This window comes from Homo sapiens, chromosome 16 (assembly GCF_000001405.40).
Source record: "Homo sapiens chromosome 16, GRCh38.p14 Primary Assembly".
Classification (NCBI taxonomy): Eukaryota; Metazoa; Chordata; class Mammalia; order Primates; family Hominidae; genus Homo; species Homo sapiens.
In genome coordinates this window covers 46,522,727-46,545,815 of record NC_000016.10, presented here as the reverse complement: position 1 = coordinate 46,545,815, position 23,089 = coordinate 46,522,727, and the positions used below count along the sequence as shown (strand labels likewise).

General features: G+C 38.2%; 1 pseudogene across 1 annotated transcript in view; it reads left to right on the top strand.

Annotated features, from left to right (window-relative positions):
- ANKRD26P1 (ankyrin repeat domain 26 pseudogene 1) overlaps positions 1-23,089 on the top strand; it is a 99,761-nt pseudogene that overhangs the window by 23,282 nt on the left and 53,390 nt on the right. The window contains exons 7-8 of the transcript NR_026556.1: positions 14,682-14,712; positions 17,469-17,541. The product of NR_026556.1 is annotated as an ankyrin repeat domain 26 pseudogene 1 (transcript). The remainder of the gene's footprint in view (positions 1-14,681; positions 14,713-17,468; positions 17,542-23,089) is intronic.

Genomic DNA, 23,089 nt, shown 5'->3' with positions numbered 1-23,089 from the left:
TACCCAAGTATGCGATTAAAATTATTTGCTTTATGTGTTTTTGTATATTTCAATTTGGGAGATAATATTCATATTATATTACTTTGATCTTTATTTGCAATTTTCAAGCTGACTATATCTTTTTATAATATAGGATAATAGCAAGTTCAGGAAATATCTTTTTTTAAATTAATAACTGTATTATTTAACATAGTTTTAGATTCACAGCAAATTGAGAGTAAGGTACAGAGATCTCTCATATACCCCACGACCCCCTGATGTGCATAGCCTTCCGCATTTTTATTTTTATTTTTATTTTTTTATGGCATATTTATATAATACTGTTTCTTACAATAACACAGCTAGAGAAAAGAAAATATTGTTAATAAAATCATAAGGAAGATAGAATATGTTGACTTCATTAAGTGTAAGTGGATCATCATCCTCATTCTCATCATCTTCAAGTAGAGTAGGAAGAGGAGTTGGTTTTGCTATCTCAGGAGTGGGAGAGATGGAGGAGGTGGAGGCGGTGGAAGAGGAGGCAGAAGAGGCAAGGACACTTGGTTTAACTTTACGGAAATACATCATAATTTCTTGTCTGACGTTATTGGCTTTTCATTTCTCTAAGAATATTTCTCTATGATACCAATCTTTCACTGTTTGCTTTAGTTTCAGTGTCCATATCATAGAAGGGTCCATGTCATAAAATAAGTCAAAGCAGTCATGAATAATTGGAACTCTTCTACCAGATTGTCTAATGTCAATTTGTTTCCTTGCATTGCTTCTTCTACGTCTTCTTCCTTATCATCTGGCACTGGTTTGGAAGCATTCATCCCTATCAAGTCATCTTCAGTTAATTCCTCTGGTGTGGTGTATATTAACTCTTGAATTTCTCCCAATAGTCATATCTTGAAACCTTTCACCCTTCACCATTTTTTTTCTTGCCATTTCCACAATCTCTTTCATGATCTCCTTGTTTAGCTCTGTTATAAATCCTGTGCAGTCATGCACGACATCTGGACACAGCTTTCTCCAGCAGGAGTTTATTGTTTGGGGCTTGATGTGGCATCCTACTGAAGCCTTTCATGTTCTCTCTGTCAGCGTTTTCTTCCACAGTGTTGACAATTCTTTCCATAGAGTACCATGTGTAATGAGCCTTTCAAGGTTCTTATGACCCCCTAATGTAGAGGCTGATATCATATTTGGAGCCAAGTAGACCACTTCAATGCCTTTGGTGTTGAATTCATAGAGTTTGGGTGGCCAGAGGCATTGTCCAATATCAAAAGAACTTTAAAAGGCAGTCTCTTCCTTGCTTCAGGGACAAAGCATTGATGGAACCAATCTAGAAAAAGAATTCTGGTTTTCCAAACCTTCTTGTTATACAATCAAAAGATGCCAGCAGGAGTTTATCTTTTCCCTTCAAGGCTTGAGGGTTAGCAGTTTTATGGATAAGGGCAGTCGTGATTTTAAACCTAACTGCATTTGCACAAAACATTAGAGCTAGCTTACCCTTCTTAAATCCTGGTGCTTGCTTCTCTTCCCCACTAATAAATGTCCTTTTTGGCATTATTTTCCAGAATAGGGCACTTTTGTCTGCATTAAAAACTTGTTTTGGGATACATACTTTCTCCTCAATGATTTTCTGGAGACATGTATATTCAAATCCTTTGCCCATTTTAAAATCAGGCTTTTTATTGTTGAGTTGTAAGAGTTATTCATATATTCTGGATATTAGACCTTTATCAGGTAGATAATTGCAAATATTTTTTCACATTTTGTTAGTTGTCTTTTTTCTTTCCTGATGTCCTTTGAAGCATAAATGATTTTGAATTTGGTAAAGTTCAATTTATATTTTATTTTGTTGCTTCTTTTGATATCATAAAGATAATCCAAACTCCTGAAGGTTTACACCAAAGTTTTCTTCGGTTTTAGCTCTTTTATTTGAATCCTTAATAAATTAGAGTTAATTTTTGTATGTGGTGTGAGATGACAGTCCATTTTTATCTTTTTTGGTCCAGATATTCAGTTGTCCTAGCATCAGTTGTTGAAAACATTGTTCTTTCTCCACTGAATGATTTTGGTACCCTTAGAGAAAATCAATTGATCATAGATGTATGGGTTTATTTCTGGACTCTCAATTCTATTCCTTTTATATTTATTCTATCCTTATATCAATATCACATACTTTTGATTGCTATAGCTTTGTTTAAATTAATAACCTAAACAGTAATTTTTAACCAGAGCAGGGTAACTAGAATTACCCGTAAAGCTGGTTCACCTGGTTCTATCTGTATATGATGAAGTAACTTGTATTTTATAGAATAACTATAAAATCTAGTAAAAACTAAGCAACATAAGCAATCACCACAACTGTTTAAGGGCAATGGGCAGTAACCAAGCCTGTCAGGATTTGTGGGGCCATAGGATAGACACAAAGAAAACCACATTTAAGAACATGAGAGTAAAATGGCTGAAAACCAACTACAAAGAGAAAATCCTAAAAGCCACCAGTGAAAAGTTATACATTATTTTCTAAGGAGCAAAAAAATATTGATGGCTGGGTGTGGTGGCTTATGCCTATAAGCACTTTGGGAGGCCATGGGGGGAGGATCGTTTGAGGCCAGGAATTTGAGACCAGCCTGGGCAACATGGCAAGACCCTGTCCCTACAAAAAATTTAAAAATAAGCCAGGTGTGATGGCACATGACTGTAGTCCCAGCTACTCAGGAAGACAGGAGGATCGCTTGAGCCCAGGAGTTCAAGGCCACAGTGAGCTGTGATCACGCTGCTGCACTCCAGCCTGTGTGACAGAGCGAGATCCCATCTCTAAATAATAATGATGATGATAATAATAATAATAATAAATATTTGTAGCTTTCTTTACAAAAAATGTTTACAAAATTATCATTGGAGGAGCCTAGCTTAGTTCATGAGTCAATAATTTATTGGTTATTACTGTTCAGGGGTTGCAGTGCTGGTGAAATGCACCTGTCTTTCAGAATGCTGTGGTCCATCTCTGATGAATGCCAGAGACAATGGAATAACATTGAATACTAAACTTTTTTAAAAGGCTGTGAACATTGTATTCTATATTAAAATGTCTTTTAAAAATGAAATAATATTTTAAGAAAAAAACAGAAAGTTCACTACTAGGAGATCTACATATAAGAAATGTTACCAATATCAGGAATGAAAAAAGGGACATCACTACAGAGTACACAGACATAAAAAAGATGCTAAGAGGATCTTATACTTTTATACCAATGCATTTGAAAATTTTAATGAAAAGAATGAATTCCTTGAAAAACTCAACTTACCAAAAGTAGCTGAAGAATAATTAGAAAATCTGAAGAGTAACTCCAGGTTCAGATGGCTTCGTTGGTAAGTTATTTTAAAATTTAAGAAGGATATAGTATGACTCTTACATAAACTCTTTGAGAGTTTAGAAGCAGGAAGAACATTTCCAACCTCATTTTATGAGGCCTATGTAATCTTCATATAAAAACCTTACATGGGCACCAAATTATAATTCAGTCCCCATCATGACCACAAATGGGAAAAGCTTTAATAAAATACGATCAAATGAAATCTAGTGATATATAAAAAGGAAAGATATAACACAAGTTGAATTATTTTTAGGAGTGCAATATTGGTATTAATTAACAAAAATAAAAATGTAATTCTTCATATTACAAAATAAAGGAGGAAGAAAAATCATCTTAATAGATGTAGAAAACATATTTGATCAAATTCAACACCCTTTCATGTTAAGGGGTACTCACAGAAACCTACAACAATCATGTTTAAAGGAAAATTTTAAATTCTTGCTCACAGAGATTAGGAATGAGACAAGAATGTCTACTATCATCACTTCTGTTCAACAGTGTACTGGAAGTCCTAGCCAGTACCACAGGCAAAACAGAATAAGAAAGATAAGGATTAAAAGGGAAGAAATAGAATTTCCATTACTCATTGACGATATAATTAATAGGTAGAAAAAATAAGAATCTATACACTGGTTATTATATTATTGTATTTCAGTTAATGAGCAAATTTATCAGAGCTGCTTGATACATCATCAATTTAAAATTATAATCCTATGTTCAAAAATTGTATTTCTGTATTTTGCCACAAACAATTATAAAATGAAAATAAAGATATGATTTGCAATGGTACAAAAAAGTAAATATTTAGGAGTAACTAGTGAAACAAGTTTATAATTTTTAAACAGAAAACTACAAAACAATTTTGACAAAATTTAAAGAAAAACCTAAATAAATGGAGAGATATGTTTTGTAGTTTATTTTATTTTATTTTATTTTATTTTATTTTATTATTATTATACTTTAAGTTTTAGGGTACATGTGCACAATGTGCAGGTTAGTTACATATGTATACATGTGCCATGCTGGTGTGCTGCACCCATTAACTCGTCATTTAGCATTAGGTATATCTCCTAATGCTATCTCTCCCCCTCCCCCCCACCCCACAACAGTCCCCAGAGTGTGATGTTCCCCTTCCTGTGTCCATGTGTTCTCATTGTTCAATTCCCACCTATGAGTGAGAATATGCGGTGTTTGGTTTTTTGTTCTTGTGATAGTTTACTGAGAATGATGATTTCCAATTTCATCCATGTCCCTACAAAGGACATGAACTCATCATTTTTTTATGGCTGCATAGTATTCCATGGTGTATATGTGCCACATTTTCTTAATCCAGTCTATCATTGTTGGACATTTGGGTTGGTTCCAAGTCTTTGCTATGGTGAATAGTGCCGCAATAAACATACGTGTGCATGTGTCTTTATAGCAGCATGATTTATAGTCCTTTGGGTATATACGCAGTAATGGGATGGCTGGATCAAATGGTATTTCTAGTTCTAGATCCCTGAGGAATCACCACACTGACTTCCACAACAGTTGAACTAGTTTACACTCCCACCAACAGTGTAAAAGTGTTCCTATTTCTCCACATCCTCTCCAGCATCTGTTGTTTCCTGACTTTTTAATGATTGCCATTCTAACTGGTGTGAGATGGTATCTCATTGTGATTTTGATTTGCATTCTCCAATGGCCGGTGATGGTGAGCATTTTTTCATGTGTTTTTTGGCTGCATAAATGTCTTCTTTTGAGAAGTGTCTGTTCATGTCCTTCGCCCACTTTTTGATGGGGTTGTTTGTTTTTTTCTTGTAAATTTGTTTGAGTTCATTGTAGATTCTGGATATTAGCCCTTTGTCAGTTGAGTAGGTTGCAAAAATTTTCTCCCATTTTGTAGGTTGCCTGTTCACTCAGATGGTAGTTTCTTTTGCCGTGCAGAAGCTCTTTAGTTTAATGAGATCCCATTTGTCAATTTTGGCTTTTGTTGCCATTGCTTTTGGTGTTTTAGACATGAAGTCCTTGCCCATGCCTATGTCCTGAATGGTAATGCCTAGGTTTTCTTCTAGGGTTTTTATGGTTTTAGGTCTAACATTTAAGTCTTTAATCCATCTTGAATTAATTTTTTATAAGGTGTAAGGAAGGGATCCAGTTTCAGCTTTCTACATATGGCTAGCCAGTTTTCCCAGCACCATTTATTAAATAGGGAATCCTTTCCCCATTGCTTGTTTTTCTCAGGTTTGTCAAAGATGAGATAGTTGTAGATATGCAGCATTATTTCTGAGGGCTCTGTTCTGTTCCATTGATCTATATCTCTGTTTTGGTACCAGTACCATGCTGTTTTGGTTACTGTAGCCTTGTAGTATAGTTTGAAGTCAGGTAGTGTGATGCCTCCAGCTTTGTTCTTTTGGCTTAGGATTGACTTGGCGATGCGGGCTCTTTTTTGGTTCCATATGAACTTTAAAGTAGTTTTTTCCAATTCTGTGAAGAAAGTCATTGGTAGCTTGATGGGGATGGCATTGAATCTATAAATTATCTTGGGCAGTATGGCCATTTTCACGATATTGATTCTTCCTACCCATGAGCATGGAATGTTCTTCCATTTGTTTGTATCCTCTTTTATTTCATTGAGCAGTGGTTTGTAGTTCTCCTTGAAGAGGTCCTTCACGTCCCTTGTAAGTTGGATTCCTAGGTATTTGATTCTCTTTGAAGCAATTGTGAATGGGAGTTCACTCATGATTTGGCTCTCTGTTTGTCTGTTATTGGTGTATAAGAATGCTTGTGATTTTTGTACATTGATTTTGTATCCTGAGACTTTGTTGAAGTTGCTTATCAGCTTAAGGAGATTTTGGGCTGAGACAATGGAGTTTTCTAGATATACAATCATGTCATCTGCAAACAGGGACAATTTGACTTCCCCTTTTCCTAATTGAATACCCTTTATTTCCTGCTCCTGCCTAATTGCCCTGGCCAGAACTTCCAACACTATGTTGAATAGGAGGGGTGAGTGAGGGCATCCCTGTCTTGTGCCAGTTTTCAAAGGGAATGCTTCCAGTTTTTGTCCATTCAGTATGATATTGGCTGTGGGTTTGTCATAGATAGCTCTTATTATTTTGAGATACATCCCATCAATACCTAATTTATTGAGAGTTTTTAGAATGAAGGGTTGTTGAATTTTGTCAAAGGCCTTTCCTGCATCTATTGAGATAATCATGTGGTTTTTGTCTTTGGTTCTGTTTATATGCTGGATTACACTTATTGATTTGTGTATATTGAACCAGCCTTGCATCCCAGGGATGAAGCCCACTTGATCATGGTGGATAAGCTTTTTGATGTGCTGCTGGATTCGGTTTACCAGTATTTTATTAAGGATTTTTGCGTCAATGTTCATCAAGGATATTGGTCTAAAAGTCTCTTTTTTGGTTGTGTCTCTGCCCGGCTTTGGTATCAGGATGATGCTGGCCTCATAAAATGAGTTAGGGAGGATTCCCTCTTTTTCTATTGATTGGAATAGTTTCAGAAGGAATGGTACCAGTTCCTCCTTGTACCTCTGGTAGAATTCCGCTGTGAATCCATCTGGTCCTGGACTCTTTTTGGTTAGTAAGCTATTGATTATTGCCACAATTTCAGAGCCTGTTATTGGTCTATTCAGAGATTCAACTTCTTCCTGGTTTAGTCTTGGGAGGGTGTATGTGTCGAGGAATTTATCCATTTCTTCTAGGTTCTCTAGTTTATTTGCGTAGAGGTGTTTGTAGTATTCTCTGATGGTAGTTTGTATTTCTGTGGGATCGTTGGTGATATCCCCTTTATCATTTTTTATCGCATCTAATTGATTCTTCTCTCTTTTCTTCTTTATTAGTCTTGCTAGCGGTCTATCAATTTTGTTGATCCTTTCAAAAAACCAGCTCCTGGATTCATTAATTTTTTGAAGGGTTTTTTGTGTCTCTGTTTCCTTCAGTTCTGCTCTGATTTTAGTTATTTCTTGCCTTCTGCTAGCTTTTGAATGTGTTTGCTCTTGCTTTTCTAGTTCTTTTAATTGTGATGTTAGGGTGTCAATTTTGGGTCTTTCCTGCTTTGTCCTGTGGGCATTTAGTGCTATAAATTTCCCTCTACACACTGCCTTGAATGTGTCCCAGAGATTCTGGTATGTTGTGTCTGTGTTCTCGTTGGTTTTGAAGAACATCTTTATTTCTGCCTTCATTTCGTTATGTACCCAGTAGTCATTCAGGAGCAGTAGTCATACAGTTTCCATGTAGTTGAGTGGTTTTGAGTGAGTTTCTTAATCCTGAGTTCTAGTTTGATTGCACTGTGGTCTGAGAGACAGTTTGTTATAATTTCTGTTCTTTTACATTTGCTGAGGAGAGCTTTACTTCCAACTATGTGGTCAATTTTGGAATAGGTGTGGTGTGGTGCTGAAAAGTATGTATATTCTGTTGATTTGGGGTGGAGAGTTCTGTAGATGTCTATTAGATCCGCTTGGTGCAGAGCTGAGTTCAGTTCCTGGATATCCTTGTTAACTTTCTGTCTCGTTGATCTGTCTAATGTTGACAGTGGGGTATTAAAGTCTCCCATTATTATTGTGTGGGAGTCTAAGTCTCTTTGTAGGTCACTAAGGGCTTGCTTTATGAATCTGGGTGTTCCTGTATTGGGTGCATGTATATTTAGGATAGTTAGCTCTTCTTGTTGAATTGATCCCTTTACCATTATGTAATGGCCTTCTTTGTCTCTTTTGATCTTTGTTGGTTTAAAGTCTGTTTTATCAGAGACTAGGATTGCAACCCCTGCCTTTTTTTGTTTTCCATTTGCTTGGTAGATCTTCCTCCATCCTTTTATTTTGAGCCTATGTGTGTCTCTGCACATGAGATGGGTTTCCTGAATACAGCACACTGATGGGTCTTGACTCTTTATCCAATTTGCCAGTCTGTGTCTTTTAATTGGAGCATTTAGTCCATTTACATTTAAGGTTAATATTGTTATGTGTGAATTTGGTCCTGTCATTATGATGTTAGCTGGTTATTTTGCTCGTTAGTTGATGAAGTTTCTTCCTAGCCTCGATGGTCTTTACAATTTGACATGATTCTGCAGTGGCTGGTACCAGTTGTTCCTTTCCATGTTTAGTGCTTCCTTCAGGAGCTCTTTTAGGGCAGACCTGGTGGTGACAAAATCTCTCAGCATTTGCTTGTCTGTAAAGTATTTTATTTCTCCTTCACTTATGAAGCTTAGTTTGGCTGGATATGAAATTCTAGGATGAAAATTCTTTTCTTTAAGAATGTTGAATATTGGCCCCCACTCTCTTCTGGCTTGTAGAGTTTCTGCCGAGAGATCAGCTGTTAGTCTGATGGGCTTCCCTTTGTGGGTAACCTGACCTTTCTCTCTGGCTGCCCTTAACATTTTTTCCTTCATTACAACTTTGGTGAATCTGACAATTATGTGTCTTGGAGTTGCTCTTCTCGAGGAGTATCTTTGTGGCGTTCTCTGTATTTCCTGAATCTGAATGTTGGCCTGCCTTCCTAGATTGGGGAAGTTCTCCTGGATAATATCGTGCAGAGTGTTTTCCAACTTGGTTCCATTCTCCCCGTCACTTTCAGGTACACCAATCAGACGTAGATTTGGTCTTTTCACATAGTCCCATATTTCTTGGAGGCTTTGTTTGTTTCTTTTTATTCTTTTTTCTCTAAACTTCCCTTCTCCCTTCATTTCATTCATTTCATCTTCCATCACTGATACCCTTTCTTCCAGTTGATGGGATCGGCTCCTGAGGCTTGTGCATTCTTCATGTAGTTCTTGAGCCTTGGCTTTCAGCTCCATCAGCTCCTTTAAGCACTTCTCTGTATTGGGTATTCTAGTTATACATTCGTCTAAATTTTTTTCAAAGTTTTTAACTTCTTTGCCTTTGGTTTGAATTTCCTCCTGTAGCTCGGAGTAGTTTGATCGTCTGAAGACTTCTTCTCTCAACTCGTCAAAGTCATTCTCCGTCTAGCTTTGTTCCATTGCTGGTGAGGAACTGCGTTCCTTTGGAGGAGGAGAGGCGCTCTCCTTTTTAGAGTTTCCAGTTTTTCTGCTCTGGTTTTTCCCCATCTTTGTGGTTTTATCTACTTTTGGTCTTTGATGATGGTGATGTACAGATGGATTTTTGGTGTGGATGTCCTTTCTGTTTGTTAGTTTTCCTTCTAACAGACAGGACCCTCAGCTGCAGGTCTGTTGGAGTTTGCTAGAGGTCCACTCCAGACCCTGTTTGCCTGTGTATCAGCAGCAGTGGCTGGAGAACAGCGTATTTTCGTGAACTGCGAATGATGCTGTCTGATCATTCCTCTGGAAGTTTTGTCTCAGAGGAGTACCTGGCCGTGTGAGGTGTCAGTCCGCCCCTACTGGGTGGTGCCTCCCAGTTAGGCTGCTCAGGGGTCAGGGCTCAGGGACCCACTTGAGGAGGCAGTCTGCCCGTTCTCAGATCTCCAGCTGCGTGCTGGGAGAACCACTGCTCTCTTCAAAGCTGTCAGACAGGGACATTAAAGTCTGCAGAGGTTACTGCTGTCTTTTTGTTTGTCTGTGCTGTGCCCTCAGAGGTGGAGCCTACAGAGGCAGGCAGGCCTCCTTGAGCTGTGGTGGGCTCCACCCAGTTCCAGCTTCCAGGCTGCTTTGTTTACCTACTCAAGCCTGGGCAATGGCGGGCACCCCTCCCCCAGCCTCGCTGCCACCTTGCAGTTTGATCTCAGACTGCTGTGCTAGCAATCAGCGAGACTCCGTGGGCGTAGGACCTTCCGAGCCAGGTGCAGGATATAATCTCCTGGTGCACCGTTTTTTAAGCCCGTCGGAAAAGTGGAGTATTAGTGTGGGAGTGACCCGATTTTCCAGGTGCCGTCTGTCACCCTTTTCTTTGACTAGGAAAGGGAACTCCCTGACCCCTTGTGCTTCCCGGGTGAGGCAATGCCTCGCCCTGCTTCGGCTCGTGTTCGGTGCGCTGCACCTGCTGTCCTGCGCCCACTGTTTGGCACTCTCTAGTGAGATGAACCCGGTACCTCAGCTGGAAATGTAGAAATCACCCGTCTTCTGCGTCGCTCACGCTGGGAGCTGTAGACCGTAGCTGTTCCTATTCGGCCATCTTGGCTGCCTCCTCCTTCCGCATTTTTAATATCTCCCACAGAGTTCATCAGACTTACAAACCGCCCCCATAATTCAATTATCTCTCACCAGGTCCCTCCCACAACACATGGGGATTATGGGAGTACAATTCAAGATGAGATTTGGGTGGGGACACAGAGCCAAACTATATCAGTGGGTATCATTTTGAATATTAAAAAAATTAAAGTTCTGTGGTAATTGAATGTAGTCATTTAAGATGTTCTCTGTCCTTGCTTTAGTTTTCCTTTTATTCATAAGCATAGGATCTGATGACGTATGCTTTACATGCTGAGAAAGTGTGATTTCTATAGACACTTGCCACATAATGGGGAGGGTTGGGGAAAATGGCATCACGTGGTACTACACAGTGCTACACAGCACTAACTGGACCATTTTGCTCCATGAGGTGGGTCCTGATAGACTCATTAGCAGTAGGAAGGGACAATCTCAAGAGGTTGTACTTTATAAAACTAAAATCACAAAGTCTTTCATACATCCCTTGCAATGGAATATAAGACCAGGTAGTGAATACCATAGGTCAACAAATATGTTTGTCACTGATTCCCTTCCTTTCGGGAATTAGTTTGAATACAGTCCATATTATTATAGCATGGCTCATCTACATCCAGATTCTCTGTTATGAGAAATGCCAAGAGAATCAAAATGTTTTGGTTTACATGAAGTGAGAGAGAATTTTTTTTCTTTCACTAGACACAGTGATAACTCTTGGCAAATTCGGGTAGCTTGAGTGAGTTGATAATTTTGTTTTTATATATTTTTTATATCAGATAGTACTCCCTGGACATTTGGCACCCCTTCCGCACTGTTCCTTCTTAAGCTTCTCTCTGAATAAGTGGTAGGGTTCAGAGTGGGCAAACTCTTAAGGAAGTGATCTTTTCAGTAGTTCTTTCCATGGGAGGTAAAATGGTAAGTAAATTTGAACCTTATTTATATCACACATAGGGCAGATAAATTAGCTAGAACTAAGTAAATTTAACTAGCCTCTTTCCCAGAAGAGGATTAGTGAGAAGGAGTACATTGATTTGTCTTGAGCTCTTCTCCACTGGCAGCTGAAAGTGATTTGCAAGAATCTTTGTCTCTGGTCTATTTTCTATGTTTTGCCATAAAACATAGTATGATGCCCATAGACCTAGCTTCCTTGTGATAGGGCATTTTATTCTAAACTAAAGCATTTTAACTGAAGAGCTGGAGAAGCTATGTTGTATGACAACAAAATAAGTACAGTTGTCTCCCTTTATCCATGGGGGATATGTTCCAAGACCCACAATGAATTCCTGAGAGTTTGCATAGTACCAAACCCTATATATGCAATGTTGTTTCTATACATATAAATCTGTGATAAAGTTTAATGTAAGATTTAGGCACAGTCTGAGCTTAACAACAATAACTAATAATCAAATAGAACAATGATAACAATATACTGTCATAGGGGAGTACCAACTATCTGGGCCAGTGGCATGGCAGTAAAATAATTTACCAAGACAGTTAGAGAAAGGCAGATTCATTATAGAAGATATGAAAATATGTTGCAAGAAGGCAATGGGCAGCCTGCAAAAGAAAAGCCTACTGCCAGGGATCAAAGCCTTGCTGGAAATTTTATAGGATGGTTCTTAGGCTGACTGATAATGCCAAGGTAGCAGGGATCTAACTTGCATTCTTCTGTCAGCTGAGGGGTTTGATACATTAAAGTGTTTGGCGGTGAGCAGGAAGTTTGTGACTTATATACATTATCTGTGCTGGAGGGCCATATGTCCTGGGCCAGAAAGAAAATGAGACCTATAACTTATTTGGTTCCTCTTTTTAAAAATAGTTTCTGGACCATGAAGAAAGGAAGACATAGCTTATTTGCTTTATCTCTTTGCTTTCTTCTTGCCCTGCCAGCCTGACTCTTTTTTTGTTTTTTCTAATTAGGACTTCACATATGCTATAAAAAAGTTTATACATATATATGTATGTATATTCCCTCAAAGTATCTTCTTGTACTGTACTCACACTTCTTCTTATGAAGATGATGTGAGGTAATACAATGCCTCTGTAATGGGATGAAGTGAGGTGAATGATATAGGCATTGTGAAGTAGTGTTAGGCTACCATTAACCTTCAGAAAGAGGATCATCTGCTTCCAGTAATCTTGGATTAATGAGCCTTGATGATGATGTTGGTTGGATATCAGGAGGAGATGAAGTCAGTGACTAATGGGCACATAGCATATACAGTGTAGATACACTAGACAAAGGGATATTCATGTTGTGGATGGGATGGAATGGGATGGCTGGAGAGTCTATCATGCTACTGAAAACAGCACACAATATAAAACTTATGAATTGCTTATTGCTGGAATTTACCATTTGACATTTTTGGACCATGGGTGATGTATTAGCATTTCTCACACTGCTAATAAAGACATACCCAAGACTGGATAATTTATAAAGAAAGGGGTTTAATTGACTCGCAGTTCCGCAGGGCTGGGGAGGCTTCAGGAAACTTACAATCATGGTGGAAGGGGAAGCAAACACATCCTCTTTCATATGGCAAGAGCAAGGAGAAGTGCAGAGCAAAGGGTAGAAAAAGCCCCTTATAGAACGATCGGATCTTGTGAGAACTCACTTACTCTCATGAGAACAGCAGATAACTGCCCCCATGATTCAATTACCTCCCACAGGGTCCCTCCCACGACACATGGGGATTATGGGAACTACAATTCTCGATGAGATTTGGGTGGGGACACAGCAAAACTATATCAGGTGACCGTGGGTGACTAAAACCACAGAAAGCAAAACCACAGATGTGATACTGTGAAATATGTATTCGATCTTTGAACCCTTTTCTTGGCATACAACTCCTAAAATCCTTAGAATCCCCAAAGTGATGTCCCTTTGTATGTGAATGATTCATTATGGCTGGCAGCCCCTAATGAGCTTCAGGATGGGGGCTGGTCACCAGAAAGACCAAGGCATGATTAGAGGGTTAGGACTTCCAGCCCCGTCCTCCAACCTTCCAATCTCATGGGAAGGGAGGGGGGCCGAAGTTTAAGTTGATCACCAATGACGATTGATTTAATCAGTCATGCCTGTGTAATGAAACTTCTATAAAAACCCAAAAGGACTGGGTTCAGAGAACTTCTAGATAGCTGAATATGTGGTGGTTCCTGGACGGTGGTGTACCCTCAGAGGGTATGGAACTCTGCACCCCTTCTCCCATGCCTTGCCCTATGCACTTCCTCATCTACATCCTTTCTAATATCCTTTACAATGAGCAGGAAATGTAAGTAAGTGGTTCCCTAAGTTCTGTGAACTACTCTAGCAAATTAATCCAATCCAAGGTGGGGGTTGTGAGAACCTTGAAGATAGTTGGTCAGAGGTTCTGAAGGCCCAGGCTTGTGACTGGTTTGGGGAGGGGGAAGCCTTGGGGACTGAGCTTTCAGCTGTGGGATCTGACACTATCTCTAGCTAGACAACGTGGGAATGGAATTAGAGGACACTCAGCTGGTGTCTGCTGCTGAACTGATTGCTTGCTTGTTGGTGGGGATAAATCCCCCTCGCCCACCAACATTTGGTCAGAGATGTCTTCTGTGTTGGTGATTGTTGCTGTGGTGTGAGAGCAGAGGAAAAATATGTTGAGTGTGTTTTTTCACCCATGTCATGGATATGGGAGCATTACTGTATACTCTGTTCTAACTACTACTAGTTCATTAGTCCAGAAAGCATGTTCTTGAAGTTTGACTCAGTTTGCTAGCGATGCTAGTCAGTCTGATAGGGTTTGGTTAGGATTATGATTATTGTACACAGCAATTCATTTGTAGGTATCACATTTTGGCAAATCCCATTCTTTTTTGCTTTGACTGATACAAAGGAGGAGAAGTAAGGATTCTTAATATAGTAATTGCCTACCAGTAGTATAATCAATATTAATTCTAGTATAGTCTCAAGATATGGTCCTAAAGGAATACTTTGTGAAAAAAAAGAAAGATCTAAAGCATGCACAAAAATGTACATGATTTTTTTTAATGAAGGCAGAGTCTCACTATGTTGCCCAGGCTGGTCTTAAACTCCTGGGCTTCTCAAGTGATCCTCTGGCCTCAGCCTCCTGAGTAGTTGGGATTACATGCATGTGTCACTGGGCCCTCTTATACTTTCAATATTCTGTGTTTTTCTATTGTTGACTTAAAATGCATTTTTTTCTTTAATAGTGGATGAGATTCCTGGAAATCCTGTAAAAAGGTACGACTTACAGATTTTAAAATATTATATGTTACCTGAGGGAATATAGAGAAAAGAAACTAACATCTGTTGAGTGTTGTACTCTGGGGTAGACACTATTTTATGTGCTTGTCTCATCTCATATAGTTATCACAGCAGCTTTGAAAGGTTCTCTGTTATTATAACCTACTTTTTCCTAATTAGCTAACTGTGGTTCAGAGAGGTTGATTAATTGCCCCATGTCCCCATAGTTAACGCTGGCGCATGATTTGACTGGCAGCCTGCCTGGCTCCCAAATCCCTTCTCTTGCCCCTCTGCATAGATTGGCAGAGACCTGTACAACACTGGAATCAAGACACAGGTCCAAACCAGATCAATTCAGAAAGTCAAATTTAGTTAACTCTCATTTATAGTTTTTCTTAGAAGTCTGGTTAGTCTGAGTTTGTTTTAATGTATTTGGCAATTTCAGTGGTAATCAGTATCTTGTTTTTACCATCACATATTTTAGGGTAGATCTCACTTAGCTATGGCCACAGGACCATGGGTTTTACATAGACAAGACCAGTCATATCCTAGAGAGGAATTATTTTATTGTAAGTGAAGGCTATTTATGTTACATTTATTTATTATGTTAGTTATATTTAGCATCTAAATAGAGCCTATTTCTAATTGATTTCTCTACTTGTTGACTCCTTAGTTTAGTTTTCCCTTTAGGCTACTACCCTGCCTAATTCCATGGGCTTTTTTTTAAGAGTCCTTTTTTCTTCTTCCATTACTTTTCTGTAATCTTTACTTTAGTTGTTAACTTTCTTCTCTGCTTTCTGTGGTGTTTCTTTTGTTTTATTTTTCCATTTCTGCCAGCTAAGTATTCCCCATTTTTATATAGACAGAATCAAAAGCACACACAACTTCAGGATTTTAAGGAATCTTAGTGACTAATCAAAATACCCTCTAGTACTTCAACCTGTGTTTAACATTCTGGTGAAGTGGTTGTTCAGATGGAATATCTGAAACTCAAAGAGATTAAGATGACTTATTTGGATATAGGAAGTGGCAGAAATGAGATTTGAACTCATTTCAAAGCCCATTACTCTTCCTTCTTTATCATCCTGTTAGTAAGTGTTTTAATAATAGAAAGGGAAAGTGGGTCTAGTGAACACAGTGGATGAGCCTAGGAAGGGAATTAGCTGGGGAACCCAATGGAAGAGGAGAAGAATTAAATTAATAGGGTAAGGCCATGTTTGAAGAGAAATAACACTGGATTGGATAGGAATAAGGTTTTTAGAAAAGAGAAGTGAATATTGGGGTTTATGACAAGTTTTATAAAGATAAATTATAGTAATGAAGAATACAGGATGTTGGGAGTTATCTAGAAAGGCATGTTTAAGTAGGTGGTTCAAGGGAGTCTTGAACAGGTTGCTGCTCTTTTGTTTGTTTAATTAGAGTGACTGACCCAACTTCGAAGTTTCTATTGAAAGATGTTAAAAGAATTTGAGCCACTGAGAAGAGTCTCTATAGCAGATTGAATTGTAGTATTATCTACTTCCACCCCAACTTATAGAGGGATGGCTCAGAGTCCCTCCACTACTAGAGGACTGAAGTTTCCTGAACTATATAGATCTGTGCCCCAGAGCACGTATCCTCTTACCTCTGCCTCTTTTCCCAATTCACCAATTGTCCTTCCCATTTCCATGATTGTCTGGCAAATCAGTCATGGACCTTCAGTTTGGTAGTTGATAACATGCCTATGCCGGGGGAAGACGACTGAAATTCCATTTAGCTTGTTTTCTAGCAGCAGTAAAATTGAGAGCTCTGTCTTTTGGTCATTTGAGCTTACTCTTTTAGGAATTTGTGCTTTTATTGGCTGAAGATTTAAAGGTTGGAGACTGCCATAGAGCCCTGCAGAAGAGGGATCTGGAAGTGGGAGCCCATAGGAAGGGAGATATTTAGATAGTTCTCAGGGAAATAGAGATACAACTACCAGGACTCTGTTTTTCCAGGAGTCTCTCTCCTTTGGTGTCTGAGTACCTATGGAGGTTTTTAAGAGCTTAGTACTTTATGTGGCCCTGAATTTGGCAAAGTCTATTTAGGGAAAATAATTAGATTTTATAATTAAGTTTTAGTATCTCCGGGAAGAGTATTTTTAATAACAATATATACATTTGTCCTTTGACATTCATACATTTAGCTTTCAAGTATTTTAGATGTGTCAGGGAAGATTCTGTACTATTTTAAGGAAAAGGGAAGCAATGGGGGCCTCCTTAAGAGGTTTCCAAGCAGAAGAACCAGGACTGCCATTTTCAAGTGACACAGATTGGTCTTTGAACCAGAGATAGATCATGGAGAAGGGACAGTGGATCTTTTTACTTTATTTTAAGTTATCAGGTTTCTTCCAGTTCAGGTAACAAAAGTTATGTCAGCCATTACTTGGATTTTAAGTTCTGCCTCCAGGACAAATAATTTGTGAAGCCCAATTATTCTTAGGCTCTACCAATATATTAGCTGTCATGATTTGTTATGGAACTAAGGGTGAGTCTTCATGGACTATTCCATAGCTTTGGAGAGGAGGAAGTAGAAATAGGTAATTAAGATCTTTCCCACAACAGAGGCCAAATTTTAATTATGTTAAGAGACATTATTTTAAATACAGATAGCTGACCTTCCACAAGATTTACTTTTTTTTTTTGTTTTGTTTTGGGAGGGCACCCAGTTATGAACCTTCAAATTGCTTAAAGAAATGAACACACTCATTTTTGTTGTATATTTTTATTCTAAAGGCTTTTCAACAAACCATCTATTGACGACTCACGACCTATGTCAGCTAATGAAGACTTTGATTTTGATACTGAGGTAAAGACGTCTCTTGCAAAATTAATTTTCTCATTCTGAATCTAATTTTCTGTAACATTTTCTCTTGAAATTTAGTAGTAATCTACTTATAATCGTATTATGTTGGTTATGGAAAGTTCATTAGAGAAAACCATTTTATAGAAACATGACTAAACATTTTCAAACATTTTTTACTTTGATAAATAACAAAGACTTGGCAAATATGTAGAGGGAGTGAGGGTGAAAAAACAATGGGCTGGAAAATACATAGTGACAGGAAAATTATATTAGGCAAAGCTTTCTCATAATAGAGCAAGTTTGAAATTTGGTCAAGGTTGATTTGAATAAGTATTCTTACTGTGTGTGACTTTTAAATTATACCAAGATGGCTTTTATAATACTTATGCCTAAATAAGTCTTTAATGGATCTAATTACTTATTATAGTAATCATGGAATCTCCTTGATGCCTTTTGGTTCAAAAACTGTACAGCAGATAGCATATACTTTTCTTTCTTAGACACATTATTTTAGTATGATATATATAGTTTTTAGGTGTGAGATTTTTTCCTATTTCTATCCTTGGTTATGTAACTAGACTAAAATAATATTAGAAATTGTGAAAATTTAGCTGGATATGGTGGTGCATGCCTGCAGTCCAAGCTGTTCAGGAGGCTGAGGTGGCAGAATTGCTTGAACCCAGGAGTCTGAGACCAGCCTGGGCAACATAGCAAGAACCTGCCTCTGATTTTTAAAAAAATTGTGGAAATTCAGAAATTTACATTTTGTTTCTCAAAATCTTTATTACAATGAGATTCCACTGTGTTTTCTATGTCATTTCATTAAGACTACATTTAAAACTCTTCACCTAATTGAAGAATAGTTGCTTTGTCCAAAATAACAACCAGTTCTAGAAGCAAAGACTCTTAATAACCATATGGTGGGACTTAATTTCAGAATTATTTGTATTGTAGTTCTTAAAAATATCCAAACTAAATCCTTACATCACATGCTAAAATTTCAAATTTCAGAAGTTTTTGTATTTATTTAGTAATCATTTAAAAACTCCTTTATTACTATGAGCTACTGGAGGTTAGGGAATTTTTTTTTTTTTTGTATCCTGGAGTACTACGAATGAAAAGACAAATGCATTTCTATACAATGGAATGTTAGCAATAATATAATATGCGTAACATATCTAATAAATAAATCCATTCATTTATAAGATATAGCCTAAATTTATATTCCCTTTTAATATTTAGGATGTATAAATTCAGATGAGTTATATTGAAAAAGTGTGTCATAAATAAGAAAATAAATTAGAAATAGATCATCAATAGGAAATAGGGTTAAAGTGTTAATATCTTTTCTAGTGTCTTCCAACTATAAGCATAAATTAATATTTTAGATTTAAAATATTTAAACTTTTAAAAGCCCCAACCCATGTTCTGCTAAATATATGTTTTCAATCCATATATTACTGCTTAGAATTCTGATTAGTATTTTTCCTCCAAGTAGAAAGTTAATGGAATATTTCTTTTTCCATTTTTCTCTCTCTGAGGTAGTAATGTTCCAGCTTTTAGGTAGTGGTATATGACCATATTTAACTAATTGAATGTCTCGTTTTACAGTATACAATTCAATTCTATATCACAGAAATGTTTACCAAAAGCTAGTTATAAATACTACTCAGTATTATTGGAAATATACTATGAACCAAAGTCTCTACATCTATATTTCTCCATGTACCTTACTGTATGTGATGTTTTTCTCCTTTTCCTTGGCTTTGGCTTTATTCCTTGGCTTTCTTTCAAGCTCAAACTTGATTGACTGGTCAAGTTATGTCTTTTTGTTTGTTTGTTTCTTTCTTTCTCCCTCCTTCCCAATCTTTTAAAAGTGATTTATCCCAACCTATGTTTTTCCTCCTAGAACACATTCTCTACAACGTCTCTTCTTTCAATCCATGTGTCTTTACTGCCAGCATACTTAGTGTAGCTTTCTACGTAGTAGCTATGTGAGACTTTTATTCATCTATCATTGCCCTACAAGATTTATTCTTTTTTTCTCTGTTTCTTGGAAGGAGCTGAATTGATACAATGATTTGTCCTTAGCTTTTTGAGAAACAGAACAGAAATAACTTATGCTAAAGAATTAGAAAGCAACCCACCACAGCAGCTTAACGAATATGGAGCTAAAGAGGGGGATGAAGGGAAAGAATTTATTAAAGAGAGGCAAGATAAATGTAAAGATTGAGTAACAGAGTCAAGTTGTCAGATTATTGTAAAAACACATCAGAAACTGTGGGATTTAATGAGCACAGGAACTCTTTACATTATAAAATATGATAGAACTTATTTTAAATGCAAATTAAGAAAAGAAAGACAGGTAATAAAAAAAATTGCTGAGATTCCTCTGAATGTCTTATAGCTGATTTTTATGAAGAACTGAAAGAAAATATAAGGGTGACTATAGTTAACATTAATCTACTATACATTTGAAAGAAAACTAAGGTGATGGGTACCCCAATTACCCTGATTTGATTATATGAATGTATCAAATTATCACATTTACTTCAAAAATATGCACATCTATTATGTATCAGTTTTTAAAAAGGAAATTTATATCCTCACATCTTTGAATTTAGCAAAGTTATATCATATATTTGATCTAGTAAAACCTTGTTTATAAATAATGCACAGTGAAATCTGTTTTAGGCCTTATCAGATTTACTATGAATTCTTAATTTTTGACTCTTGCTTCTTGTTTAAGTTTTCTAACTTAGTGTTTGGCATATCCATGACTTAACTAATTTATCTTACTCTTTCATATAATCTTGAGAGCCATTTTAGATGTTTCTGAGAATAAAGAAAATAAATAAATACATTATATTTAATCTTTTCGTTAGTTAAAATTTCTGGTTTATAAAGGAGGTTCTTAATTTTATCCATTCGGTGAGAAAATAAATTTCAAGGTAAAATCCTCTTAAATAAATTCAGGGAAGAAGGTGGAGAAATAGAAATTCCACTGTTCCCCACCACCACAAGAACACCAAGTTAACAACTATCTACACAGGAAAAAACAACTTCATAATAACCAAAAGTAAGGTGAACACTCACAGTACCTAGTTTTAACTTAATGTCACTGAAAGAGGCACTGAAGAGATTTTTTAAAGTCCTGAATGGCTGACATCACCCCTCCCCCATCCCTAGCAGCCTGACGTAGTGTGGAGAGTGTCTCTGAGTGCTGGGGGAGGGAGAACACAGCAAGTGTGAGGCTGTGAACTCAGTGCTGTTCTGTTAGAGCAAAAAGGAAAATTAGACCAAACTCAGCTGATGTCCACCCATGGAGGGAGTATTTAAACCAGCCCTAGCCAGAGGAAAATCACCAGTCCCAGTGGTCTGAATTTAAGTGCCTGTAAACCTTGCCACTGAGGGCTACAGCACCCTGTGTCTCCAAGTAATGTCAAAAGACAGTCTAGGCCATAAGGACTGCGACTCACAGATGAGTCCTAGTGCTGAGCTAGGCCAAGAGACAACAAGCTGGGTGGGGAAGATATGCCATATTGAGATACCAGCTGGGGTAGCCAAGGGAGTGTTGGCATCAACCCTCCCCTAACCTCAGGCTGCACAGCTCACAGCTCCGATAAAGGCCCCTTCCTTCTGTCCGAGGAGAGGAGAAGACAGAGCGGGGAGCACTTTGTTTTACATCTAAGATACCAGCTGAGCCACAGCAGCAAGATAGGGCACTGGTCAGAGTTGGGAGCCCCCATTCCAGGCCCTGGCTCTCTGATGACATTTCTAGACACACCCTGGGCCAGAAGGGAACCCGCTGCCTTGAAGGAAAGGACCCAGTCCTGGACTGGCAGTATTCCTCACCTGCTGACTGAAGGGCCCTTAGGCCCTTAATAAACAACGGTGACACCCAGGTACTACATCAAAGGCCTTGGGTGAGCCTCTGTGACTTGCTGGCCTGAGGTGAGACTCAGCATATAACCAGCTGTGGTGGCTATAGGGCAAAATATTTTCTGCTTAAGAAAAGCAGAAGGAAAAATAAAGGGGACTTTGTCTTGCACCTTAGGCACCAGCACGGCCATGGGGGTGGGGAGTAGAGCACCAAGTGGGCTCTTGAAGGTCCCTGATTCTAAGACTTGACTCTTGGATGGCATTTTTGGACATGCTCTGGTCCAGAGGGGAGCCCACAGCCTTGAAGGGTGAGTCCCAGGCCAGGCAGCATTTATGACAAGCTGACTTGAGAGACCTTGGGCCTTAAGAGAACATAGACCGTAGTCTAGCAATACTTCTCATGGCCTGAGGTGATGGTGGCTTCTGTGGGGAGGCTCCCCCCAACTCTTTCCATGCCTTGGGACATGGGCCATGGGTTTTCAAGATACAGTGACCAGTGAGGAAGCACCTGTTCCTGCAGCACCTGTTGCTGTCCTGGCCACTCAGTAGTCACTACTCATGAGCCTCACACAGCAGCTGTCAGAGATGTGGCAATTTGACAGATTTGCCCATATCCCTAATAAACCACTAATGTTCATCTTTATTAGAGCCAGTCTTATAAAAACAGAATTTCATCTTTTTCAAGAAATATAGGCTGGACGTGGTGGCTTAAGCCTGTCATCCTGGCACTTTTGTAGGCCAAGGAAGGTGGATCACCTGAGGTCAAGAGTTTGAGACCAGCCTGGCCAACATGGTGAAACCGCGTCTCTACTAAAAATACAAAAATTAGCCAGGTGTGGTGATACATGCCTGTAGTCTCAGCTACTTGGGAGGCTGAGGTATAAGAATCACTTGAATCTGGGAGGTGGAGATTGCAGTGAGCTGAGATCACATCACTGCAATCCAGTCTGGGCAACAGAGTGAGACTCCATCTCAAAAAAAAAAAAAAAAGGAAAGAAAGAAAGAAATTTTTTTTCAAAGGGATAATAACAGAGAACTTCTTAAACCTGGAGAAAGATATTAATATCCAAGTACAAGAAGGTCATAGAACATCAAGCAGATTTAACCCAAAGAAGACTACCTCAGAGCATTTGTTAATCAAACTGCCAAAGGTCAAGGATAAAGAAAGGATTCTAAAAGCAGGAAGAGAAAAGAAACAACAGACAATGGAGCCGCAATGCATCTGGAATCTGATTTTTCAGTGGAAACCTCCTTACAGGCATGTAAGGAGGCATGTAAGAGAGTGGCATGACATATTTAAAGTGCAAAAATCCTCAATGGAATATTTTCAAAGTGAATTCAACAATATATTAGAAAGATCATTTATCACAACCAAGTGGGATTCATCCCTGAGATGCAAGGATGGTTCAACATATGCAAATCAATCAGCATGACACATCATATCAACAGCATGAAGGATAAAAAGCATATGATAATTTTAATTGATGCCAAAGAAGCATTTGATAAAATTCAACATCCCTTCAAGATAAAAACCCTCAACTGGATATGGAAGGAGCATATCTCAACAATAAAAGCCATGTATGACAGACCCACAGCTAGTATTGTACTGAACGGGGAACCCAAATTTGGGTTTCCTTTAAGATGTGGAACCGACAAGAATGCTCACTGT